At 36.1% G+C, this 12831-nt stretch overlaps 1 long non-coding RNA gene across 2 annotated transcripts in view; it reads right to left on the bottom strand.

The window, feature by feature from the left end:
- The window catches only part of LOC105370766 (uncharacterized), a 56276-nt gene that overhangs the window by 29408 nt on the left and 14037 nt on the right, over window positions 1-12831 (bottom strand). Inside the window, exons 2-3 of one of the 2 annotated variants that reach the window (XR_932104.3) lie at window positions 8939-9044; window positions 5836-5955 (exon numbers count right to left, since the gene is read on the bottom strand). This is a non-coding gene — a long non-coding RNA (uncharacterized LOC105370766). Of the gene's footprint in view, window positions 1-5835; window positions 5956-8938; window positions 9045-12831 lie in introns of those variants that run through there. The other variant, XR_001751478.1, reaches the window with a different exon arrangement.

Here is a 12831-nt window from a genome sequence, read left to right as displayed (position 1 = left end):
TGCAGTAACACCATCTTGGCTCACTGCAACCTCCACCTCCTGGGTTCAAGTGATTCTTCTGCCTCAGGCTCTCGAGTAGCTGGAATTACAGGTGCCTGCCACCATGTCCAGCTAATTTTTTGTATTTTTAGTAGAGATGGGGTTTCATCATGTTGGCCAGGCTGGTCTTGAACTCCTGACCTCAGGTGATCCACCCTCCTTGGCCTCCCAAAGTTCAGGGATTACAGGTGTGAGCCACCATGCCCGGCCAAAATAAAGTAGCTTTTTCAATGAAATAAAATAACAACTATATTGTCATATAGTTAACAAAATACCTTATTTTCTTTAACAAAAATTGTTCTTTATTGGGTTTCTTCCTTTTAATGAATTTTATTTTTCACTTTATGACATGTCTTTATGTAAGTTATTCTAACAGTGAACTCACAGTCCCTTACTAAATTTTAAGTCTTCAAAAACACATATTTCACAGAGGGGTAGTTACTTTAAAGAGTTTAATTCTAGCATCATATACCGGATGCTTTCTTTGCATGTTAAAATCACATATTCCTTTATAGAAAGCTCACACCATTTGTTTTTCAAAACAAAACACGTCACCTATCCATCTCTCTACCCCAAATAGGAAAGTCATATTACAATAAGAAGAATGCCCCCCATGGAGGACCCATCACTGCCATACAGCAGCAAGAAAGGCGAGATGAGCACAATGGTGTATGTAACACTGCTCTACGCCGACAGATGTCCCATTGCAACTCCTGAGACTTGGAGGCCAAATGTTTTCTCTACCGACATTCTATGCCCTCAGGAATTCCTCCACAAATCCAGATCTTACACACAGCATATTATTTGTCTGACTCCAGAATGTGAATATGGTCTGCTAATTTTTATGCTGTACCCTGCTTTTAATAAATGTTTACATTACATATTTAAATATGAATATTAAAGAATGAAAGTGCTTTTAGTACATATTAAAGGGAACATAATTTCTTTACAATAAAAATACTAGTCAAAGAGCCTCGGTAATACAACAATTGACTAAAATGGAGAGATATATATGGAAGAAATTATTTCTCCATCAAGGCTCTCCAATGTAGGACGTTTTTTCAAACTGGAAAACTTGCCACGCAGAATATTCTCCACCCCAGAAATATAAGCCAGTATTTAGCAATTATAAGAAAAACAACTTTGAAGGCTGGTAAGATCTCTGTGTGAGGTTTTCACGGCAAAGACCTTATTTCAGATACGTCATGTCTAACTCGGAAATTGTAATTACTTTGATAGAAGTTCAGGGCTCGACTTCTTTTCTTGAGTATTTCAGCTTCCCTTCTTTGAGGTGGGAAAAGTGACTAATGATAGCCTGGAAATGATTAACTTAAAAAGAAACAGCTAAGAGTATTTGATCTTCTTTTGATGAAGTGTGAACACTTGATCCTTTCCCCCAAAGTGGAACTGGACTAAGCCAGCTCTGAGAGAATGAAAAGAGTGTGAGTAGAGGAGTGAGAGGAATGCATTTGTTCTTGTTCCTTTATCTCAGTGAAGCTACTTTAACTGGTGGAAACTGCTGATAGTCAATCTCATATTTTCACTTGGCGTTTGACATCAATGTTGTCAATAGAGACATAATTGTCTCTGTCAAAAGCATCATTCATTTCCAAATTGCAGAGTTATTTACAGTCGTGTCTTCACTCAATGTAACACTACCACTCAACACTCAGCTGTTCCTTCTCTGTTTTAACTAAACATTCGGGCAGACTTTTAAAGAAGCTCTATTTTAGATTAGGCTAACAACCCGAAAATGAACCCAAAGAGAAAAACTTCTCTTGTCCAAATACCATGTCGAAAATGGATAGAATTTTTCACAAAAACTGGCATTTCAAAATGAGCTCTGTTTGGTAAGGGACATGGTGCTGAAAAGCGACACTTATAATGACAGCAATGTGGATCCCCAATAAAGAAGACTGGGTTGTATTGTGCTCTAATTATAACCATTTTAAGTTTTAAGTGTGTGTGTGTGTGTGTGTGTGTGTGTGTTTAGTCTGGAAATCAATTATAATAATATTGCTTCCAGTTAAGCATCTACTATAAATCTCTGTTTATAGAAACATGGTTGATATGGGTCTTTGATTATAGTTAAATAGGAAATATTGTGAGGAAAACTTAGTCTTCTGTTTCTAAGGACCCAAATGAGTAACTACTTACTTCATAGTTTCTATGCACCCAGCATGGTGCTAGAAGCTGTCTAGCATATAAAAGAATGGTGGTGATATAAACGAAATAAAAACTCATGGAAATCACGCAATGTTTTTTTGAAAAAACTTGCTGTAATTTGGTTGTCTCACCATCTTCTCTTTCAGAGAACAAATTTACCGTATCAAAAAGAAAAAAAGGAAGGAAAAAAACCTCTGTATTTCCCAGAGGCAACTACTTATGTCTTGTTACTAGCAGAAGACATGATAATGGTAAAGAGGCAGTGCATGAAATTTGGAAAATTGGAGGCAGGTTTCAAGCTAATTTGATAGATTTTGATAAACAGAATTTTGATAGTGCTTTTCCTAAGAAAAGTATTACTATAAATCCACGTGGGATCCCTTACCCTTGATGAAAATGTACTGAGTAGATAAACTAAAATACACATACATATATATCAAGCACTCCAAATATGTTTTTGTCATCTGGACAAATTGGAACTTGGATTATTTTGAAACCAGTGCATTTTTAAGTAACAACAGCTACTACTTACTGTAAGCCTATTGTGTGCCAGGTATCTTGCATACATGATCTCATTCAAGCCTACACTCCAGACCATAAATGTATGATCATTACTTGCATTTCATAGATTAGGTAAGTAAGGTGTGCAGAGATTCAAGGATTTTCTTAAATCTTTGTAGTTAATATTAATAGTGGTGTAGCTAGCATTACCACCAATGTAAGTAATAGGATTTTTACATGGATTTTTCTCTTTTACATCTCACAACAACACCGAGGTAGGAACTATTAATATCCTCATTTTTACAGATAAAGAAACCAATAAAAATGTTAGCCTTTTAACAACTCATGTTGTAAAGGACCTTACTTAGCTCATATGTGATTGGGCTGGGATTTAAACATGGTTTTTTGGGGTGGTTTTTTTTTTCACTCCAAAACCAAAGCTTTTTTCAACTAGCCATACCAATCACTCCAAGATCAAAATTGAAGTTTGAATTCATATATTTTGTTCTCAGTAAGGTCACAAATTCCATCTTACCTTACTGTCCTGATAGAAGTTTAAGAATATCAAAAAGTTGCCATGATCTCTATCTTGTCATGTGGTTCCCTTTTCTCTCTGTCTTCCTCAGCCCATTCTTACCCAAGCCTACCCAAGACTCGTCAACACTCTATTTTATAAGAAGCCCTCATTTTTTGTTTTGTTTTTTTTTTTTTGAGTATCAGAAAGTTTTAGGGGACAATGCTAATGTTCGCTTTTCATTTTATTTTGTTCTCCCATCTTTGCCCAGCTTTTCCTATAGTACCTACAGCACTAGGAGACCAGGCTTCTAAGAATGTAGACCGTCCTTCCTGCTGATAAACTGCATTATAATTTTCTCCAGTTCATTCTGCATCTTGGTATATTGACTGGTGCCAAACCACAGTACTCCTATATTTTCTGCATCTGGTTATTTTGTAAGGGCCTTGGTTTTATATTCTCTTTCACTACCCAACTAGGTTGCATTAACTATAGCCCCTTCTCCTTTAATCTCAACCTCTTGCCTTCCCTGCCCCAACGCCACTATTTTCCATACATTTTTCCATATATTTCATTCACTATATTTCCCTATATTTCATTAACATTTCTATTTTCACATGTGCATTGCCCCATGGCAGTCCATTTTGCTCAATCCTCATCTTCAGATCTCCATATGCCCCCCCTCACTATTTTCTCACCCATAAGCACGAAAAAGACTTTGGATCCCACTTTTTGTTATATACACACAGTTAAGATAACCAGAAGCAATATCTCTAACCATAGGGAAATTCATGCATAATAATTGTGGGATGTTTTCAACGAATACATCTTTTACCATAATTGTTGTTGTCTTTGTACACATGTCTATAATTATATGTCTTAGGCTGGTTCACCTTCCTCCTCATGTTCTTGATTAAAATTAAAAAAACAAAAAGTCCAGTTTATAAGCATTAGTTATTGAATTGTCACCTTCTCACTCTGCTTATTGACAATAATTTGGAAATAGCAAACATTGTGTCTGATTTATTAGGCCATCCATTTACCATGGCCTGGGGCCACTTCTAAGTGATTAATGGTGTGTGAGGTTGTTGCAATATTAAAAAGATCAACCTGAACCTTAACTCTAGGCACAACAAACTCTTCAGAGGCTTACAATAATTTTGCTTATTTTTTTATTTCTAGATGTCAACGATGAAATAAACAAATCTTTATTACTCCTTAACCTTGAAATATTAATAACAGGCTTAAGTAATTTATCTAAAATTCAATACCTATAGTCATTGTGGAAATCTGTATGTCTTGTGAGATTTGTTAGCCAGTGATGAGCAGCCTGGGATACACACACACGCATGTGCTTGTATAATTCCAGCTGAGAATAAAAGAATCCTTTTTGGGGACATTTTATTTTCATGTATTATAATTCTGTGTTCTATGGGATATTTCAGAATCCTTCCTTAGTTGTATCTTTCAAATAGCAATTTATAGTCTACAACGTATTTTTAAAATTATTATATTTCACTTATTTTCTTCAAGGTAGCTAGGGCAAGTAATGTTAGAAATGGAATGAAACTGGGGAATATTAAATGATTTTCAAGGTCATCTACTGATTGGGGCCTTGAACCCAGATCCAATTCCTAGCTCATGGTTCTCTCTACCATGCTCACCTAAATATTAGACCAGACATGTAATACCTACAGTGAAAATTAAGCTTTAATCCTTTAAACAGAAACAAAATTTAATATATTCTATCATACTCTATTTGATCTGGCGTGAAGAGAGAAAGGAATATTCTGATTAATTTTACTTTCTGGTTTCCAATTTCTAAGAATTTAAAACTGGAAAAACTACATTCAACATCACGAGAGAATTTAAACTTTAATCCAAAGGGCACTTCAAAATCTTATAGTACTTTAGAGTTGTAATTTTTCCATTAATTTTTACTGTTTCACAGAGATAGTGTGAGCCAAGAGATTTGCAATGGAACAGTACATCAAAGCACCTTCTTTTCTACATGGCATGACCTCTGGCTGCATCCATGTGAATAAACCACAAAGTAGTAAGATAATTTTTTCAGAGCAGAAACGTTAGTTTTTAAAGCTTGAGACAAGATCTCCCTCTGTTGCCCAGGCTGGAGTACAGTGGTATAATCTCAGCTCACTACAGCCTCAACCACCCAGCCTCAAGTGATCCTCCCACCTCAGCCTCCTAAGTAGCTGGGACCACAAGCATACATCACCACACCTGGTTAAATTTTTTTAGTTTTGCTTTTTAATGTTTTTAAAACCATTTTTTTGTTTTGCTTTTTAATTTTTTTTGTTTGTTTTGTTTTGTTTTTTAGAGATGGGGTTTCACTGTGTTGCCCAGGCTGGTATGAAACTCGTGGCCTCAAGCAGTCCTCCTGTCTCAACCTCCCAAAGTGCTGGAATTACAAGTGTGAGCTTCCATGCCTGACCCAGAAACATTTTAAATGCTTGCACTTTTTGACGTAAAGAGTTTTTCATCGTATGAAAGGACTTCAGTTTTTCTAAGGGCTTCTCTCTCATTAAAGTAATGGTTGCAAATATTTTGAAAATACACTTTAATATACTTGAAGATGAAATGTTTATTTTAGATACCTGCAGTAATCTTCAGCTCCACTTTAAACACCAAGGCCATAAATATATTGTGCTTATCTTTGATTCTGAATGATCTTAGGTGTTCAGTGAGGAAGGTGAGAAAGATGAGGAAGATCGAAGCTAAAATGAATCATAAGAGGAATAAAGTTAACCCCCTAAAAAGTAGTTTTTATGGAGTACTGGTTTCTGATTGAGGCTGTACCTAATTACCACAGACTTGGCTTGAAACAGCATAAATATATTACCTTGCAACTTAGGAGGTCAAAGTCTGCAATGGGTCTTATGGAGGAGCTAAAATCAAGGTGTTGGAATAGCTGTGTTTCTTTGGAGGCTCTGAGGAAGAATCCCTGCCCCCACCTAGGCTAGCTTCTAGAGGCCACCTACATTCTTTGGTTCATGGCCAATCACTCCAGCCTTTTCTTCCACTATCGCATCCTTTTATCTGACTCTAAACCCCCCGACTATAATTTATAAGGACACTTGTGATTATAATGGGTCCATGCATAATCCAGGATAATCCTCCTTCCTCAAGATCCTTAACTAATTAAATCCACAAAGTCCCTTTTGCCATGTAGATCTTGGGGGTTAGAACGTGAACATCCTTGGGAGGTCATTCTGCCCACTACTGTATGCATAAAATATTGTAACTTTTAAATAAACATTGAGATAATGACATTTTTTAAAACAATAGTCTTATGTAGAATTGATTTCTTTATACGAATATTGTGATCTGTGTAGGAAGGGTATGACATGATAATACTACCTGGAAGTTGTTTTTAAAATATACTGTATATTTGATTAGTAAATCAAATATACAGTATATTTCAGCTGAAAGCAGCTCTCCAATGTGGGAGTGTGTGTTTTCCCTTACGGAGCAGCATACGGAAATTTAAATTGTGAAAAAGTGTTTTAGGCTGAATGTGCACTGCGGAATATGTTCGAAACAAAGTTTTCCATTAAAATTGGCATTTATGAGTCTCTTGCTAACAGTTACTACAATGATCAGCTGTGACCTCATTAGTAACATGAGCAGTAAGGAAGTAAACCAGTATTGTTAAACTGGTTTCCACTCTAATGGTGTTCCAGTGAATAAAGAGTTAAGGAAATGTCGTGCTATCCATATTAATTGAGATAAGGCACAGGATGATTTTGGCCTCTTGTTCCAGCACTGTCTCATACCATGTTTTTAAAGTTATTTTCTTTTTTTTTTAGATGGAGTCTCGCTCTGTCGCCCAAGCTGGAGTGCAGTGGCGCGATCTCGGCTCACTGCAAGCTCCGCCTCCCGGGTTCACGCCATTCTCCTGCCTCAGCCTCCCGAGTAGCTGGGACTACAGAGGCCCACCACCACGCCCGGCTAATTTTTTTGGATTTTTAGTAGAGACGGTGTTTCACTGTGTTAGCCAGGATGGTCTCGATCTCCTGACCTCGAGATCTACCCGCCTCGGCCTTCCAAAGTGCTGGGATTACAGGCGTGAGCCACCGCGCCCAGCCTTTAAAGTTATTTTCAATAACACCTAGCAATTAGGAAGCTTAAAATTACATGTTTTTAAGACTTGGAATCAAATAACTTCACTCTCTAAAGACTTAAGGCAATGAAAATTTTTTCGTTTTAAGTTTCACTTTCGTTCTTAATTATGACACTCTAGGAATTTCTGTATTTGTCTTTTAAGGTAATTCTACTCTTGGGTATTATAAAATGTTTGTCTTGTCTTTATGTTTGTTTCTCTTGGTTCTATAAATTGCATCCTCGAGTCCAGAAAATGCTGTGTATAAATATATATTATTTCAGTGGCGTGCTAGGGGCTGGCTTGTACCAGCTCCTGAGACTTCATTTTGTGTTCCTTTCCTCCTAGCTCTGAGTTCATTGACAATGTTGGTAGATTGAAATGGGCCGTGGTGGGAGTATTTACACCACAAAATTGGCAAGCACTCCAAATAAGGGCTTTTTCTTTCCCCGAGAGCTGATTATTAAACATTTACTAGCATTTTTCTGCATACACACGCACACACACGCGCACACACACACACACACACACACACACGAGTGCTAATTCAGTTAAGGATTTAGGCATATTCTAATTAATCATGGCTAGTCAGTAGCCAATGTGATTTCTACTAAATGATATAATATGACATATTTCGAACTGTTTAATCTTTCTCAGATCTTAATGCTGTATTATAGTTTGTTCATATCACACAATTAAAAGACAAAGATAATATAGGAAAATAAATTTCTGCTTTGCAATACATATCAATTAATATACCCAATATAATGATAGATGCATTAAGAAGGACACATCACTGATGAAATAGTCTTGCCAAACGTGTATAACTTTAGTCGAATCATGAGACGATATCAGACAAACCCAAACTGAACGTCATAGTTTAGAAAATGGGTGAAGTTTTAAGGACAAGTTACAAAACAAATCATCAGTACTCCTTAAAAAAAATCAAGGTATTGAAAGACAAGAAGGTTGAGGAAGTGTCACATACGAGGGGAGATTAAGGAAATGTGACACTAAATGCAATGTAAAAACCTGAATTAATGATCTAGAAAAGGGATATTAGTGTGAAAATGGGCAACATTTAAATAAGGCCTGTAGATTAATAAACAGTTTTGCATGAAGGTTACTTTTGTTTCAATAATTGTTCTATGTTTATGTGAAATAATAACTTTAGGAGAAGCTGGGAAAATGATGTACAAAATTTCTATACTCTTTGTAATTTTTCATCTGAAACCATCTAATACCATGACTGTGTATTGTTTAAAATGTTTTTTAAAAAGAATATGTTTTGGAAGTAGGAAACTCTGGCTTTGAATCCTGATTGTATAAAACTTGAGATTTCAAACAAAATGTTTACATTACTTTGTATTTAAATTTAAATTTACTTTTCTCATCTATGGAAGAGGTGATAATTGTGTTCATTTCACAAAACCGTAGCAATCAAATGAAATAATGTTTTCTAAACCTCCTAACACAATGCCTGACATATAGTATACGCTGAATAAATCATTGTTAAAGAAGCTTTATGATTTTGATGTTGGAGAAAACATAAAACAATTAAAATGTATTGACAGTTAGAAGGTTCTGAATGTCCTTACATTGATCGTCTGTGTCCTCAAACAGACGTGATTATGAAGAATCAAAACTAGTTTCCAAAAGAGGCAATTAAAAGCTTCCACGGGCATAAGGGCCACATTCTTGGGTCTAAAAGAAAGAGAAGAGTATGAGGAGTTATAGAGCTAGATTAAACTGGCCCAATGTAGTATAAGCTGTACTTTAGGATCTGATCCTGTAAACACAGTGTCATGGCCTGGCCATTAAACCCTGGAGGCATAGATTTCATGATTTCTGCATTGGATAATAACACAGTTGCCTGCCAACTCCTGTGCAATCTCCCAGCATTGTACAAGCATATCTTCCTGCATAAATGCCCAATATATGGCAGCTTAATTTTAATCATGTATATTTAGAAGTGTGTTGTGCTTCTAGATTTACCAGAAATTTTCCTTGGTGACAAATACATACTTCCTAATAAGTTTTGACCCTGTGGGCTAAAGGCAAAATGTTCAAAGTAATGCTACCCCAAGACCTGTGCTCCCACTTGCTTTATCTGTATGTATGTACATATATGTGTACATATGCACATAGAAAACATTTATACATACATGTATTTTATATAGAATACTTCTTAGTTTGGTTCAAACATAAGCAGCCAGAGTCACTTTAAATGCTAATGAACACCATCATCAATGCATATGTCAAAACTATGTCATAAGTAATAAAAATTAATTTAAATAATTAAGAAAGGTAACCTTTGCTTTGTTATGCTAAGCTCTCAGTATTCATTTTTCCTTATTTGGATTGATCACAACTTCCAAATATTACGACCAATGAACTTGAAGAGGTACATTGCTCTTGAAATGTGTGTAAATTATTTTAATAAAAATTTCACCTGCAGACAAAACCATCTACTTCCATTCTCTGCAACCTCATTCTTAAAGCAAAATTTATATCACTTAGATACTAATCTAATGACAGGACAATAACCAAATGGCCCAACAACATCAGTAATATGAAAATTTAAAATCATGAATAATCTTTTCATAATTGCCAGGAGGAACTCAATGAATTGTCTTAATTGTATCAGAAAGCCTCATGCATGTGGTTAGATCTAAAAACACAGGTTTCTGAATATCAGTTGAAAATATTTTTACCAGGCCATTTGCTACCCAGGCTTGTAGAAAGCATTCTGTAATGGGAGCAACCGCAGATTCTAAGAACAGTTTCCAGCTAGAGTCCAGTCGGCTATTCATCTTTGTGGCTAGGAAGGAAAGAAAATTCTCAAGTACCTTCAGGGGTTTTATAGATACTCTTGCTTCAACTCAGTATTTCTGGTCTTCATAAAACAAGAGTGCCAAGGATGACATAGTGAAGCAGTCAGTTTATTCCAAATGCTGAAGTGCTTACTCTACCTTGCATTTTACAAGTTTACAATTTTGGAGCCATTTGAACCACTCATTGGCTCAGTGGTGCAATATTTTTTTAAAGTTATTTCTGACCATAACAGACACTTTAGACCTGCAGTGATGAGCAAGCCCCAGAGGCAAAATACAATAAAGATTTAAGGGCTGTTCAGTGAAGCACTGTGGCTTCTTTGTGAAGGAGTTGAATGGAAGTGGGAGGGCTGGCCTGCTATGTGATTATTTCTGACAATGCTGTTTGTTTTATTTTCATTTTATTGCAGTACTTTGGGGCATTGGTAGGTATGATCCAAAAGAAAAATAAGCTTTCATCTAAGATGTTAAAGTTTTTTGGGGGAAGGACGGGTGGTGAGGGGGGGCGCTGTTCTTTTTTGATCTAATAAATGCTGTTTGAAGCAGATGAGATATTCAGAAATGAAACTCAAATTACCTCCACCATGCTTCATACCAGTCGCTTGTGATTGACTTTCTGTCCATATGAAAAAAGATGAGACACACTTAATTCTAGATTTTAATTATTTTAGCTAAATAAAGCCCAGTATATTCCATTCTTTATTTTATGTGATAAACTGTAATCTATTTCTTATCATAAAATCTGAATTTACTACAATGTTATTAGAGGTATGTTTGCTGTCTCTGAAGACGTCCATAATAGGAAGCTAGTGCTACCTGTGTTGGTATTACACTTCACTAAATATATAAACTGAATTATTAACAATTCAGATTAGCTTTCATTTGAGAACCATAGAGTTTTAGTGGGTCTCAGGCTTAGCCAGATATTATTTTATGGATATGTTTCACAGATCCCTTTCCTAGCGAAAACAATCAGTGTGAATGTTCTTATACTCTTCACTCAAGAGTAATAGTTGCGAAAAAGAAAATAAATAATATTTTTATATTATACATACATATGCTATAATATATAGCTTTTTGTAAACATAAATACATTATATATGCACACATACATACTGGATGATGTATTTATTCAAATGTGTATAGATACATATACATATACCCTTTCATCACATTTATTGACGAGCACATGGACCGTGACACCATGACAATTGTCTGTCCATATCAGAATCCTGAAGAATTTGCTAACGTGACAACTCACTGGCAAAGAACTGAAGGAGCTCTAAAATCACTCAGGAACCTTTGTCCATCACTTTCCTCTAATGCTTCAACCTTCCCTTATCTCCTAGCTTCTTCCTCTTGTTAGCCCAGAGGAATACTCAAGTCTAGCCTGCCTGTCTTTGAAAAAAGAAATGTATTTTCTTCTTGACACATTGGTGTCCTACTAATCTCAAGGATTTCTCAAATATTTTTATTTGCCTTATAATCAAGCTTCTGGAAAGAATAGTCTACATCTGCTAATTTCTTGCCACCTTTTCACTCAATTCCCTATAAACTGATTTCTGCTTCTACCAATCATTTGAAACTATCTAATTTTCAGGCTAATTTTCAAACTGGCTTCTGGCATCACTCATCTACTAATGACTCCCAAAGGACCTCACTTGATAAATCCACAGGTCAATAATTTTTCATCTTTCTTAACCTATCAGCATTTGACAAAGAACCACTTCCTCTTTCTTGGAATACTTCCCTCTGTTTTGGGAGGTTATACTCTCCTGGGTTTCCTCCCACTGCTTTAGTTGTTTCTTCTCAGCCTCCTTTCCAGGTCCTTTTTCACCTCCCAGCTTTCTTAACTGTTAAGCGTCTGAGGGCTCACTCAGTGAACTTTGTCTCTTTCATATCAACTCTACTTTTGGGGATCTCGTTCTATAACAATGATTAAGTATCACCTAAACACTGTTATCTGAACTCTAGACTCATATGCCAACTATTACAGATATTGGACTCCACTTGAGTCCAATATTGATCTCAGTCTCACATTTTCAAAACAAGTTTCTTTTCTGTTGTTGTTGACAATTTTTTTTTAAATTTCAACAGTTTTTTGGAAACAGGTGGTTTTTGGTTACATAGGTAAGTTCTTTAGTGGTGATTTCTGAGATTTTGGTGCACCTGTCACCCGAGCAGTGTAACCTGTACCCAATGTGTAGTCTTTTATCACTCACCCCCTCACACCCTTCTCCCTGAGTCCCCAAAGTCCATTATATCATTCCTATGCTTTGGGGCCCTCATAGCTTAGGTCCCATTTATGAGAACACATGATGTCAAAACCAAGTTTCTTATCTTCTTAAACCCCTCACTCCATCTCAGTTAGTAAAAACTCTAGCTTTCCATTTGCTCCATGCCAAAAACCTTGGAGTCATTGTCACCTCTTTCATTGTGGTCGCATGCCACATCTAATTCATTAGCAAATTTTGTCGGTTCTTCTTCAAATACATCTTGAATCTAATCGCTTCTTCCTTCTTCTACCTGTACTACCTTGTTCAACCACCATCATCTCTCTCCAGGATTATCAGGATGGCCTCCCCACTGATTTTTCTACTTCTGTCCTTTCCTCATTCAGTCTATTCCAACATGGCCTACAACATGATCCAGCAAAA

This window comes from Homo sapiens, chromosome 15, assembly GCF_000001405.40.
Source record: "Homo sapiens chromosome 15, GRCh38.p14 Primary Assembly".
In the NCBI taxonomy this organism is placed as follows: Eukaryota; Metazoa; Chordata; class Mammalia; order Primates; family Hominidae; genus Homo; species Homo sapiens.
This window is presented reverse-complemented; position numbering and strand designations above follow the sequence as displayed.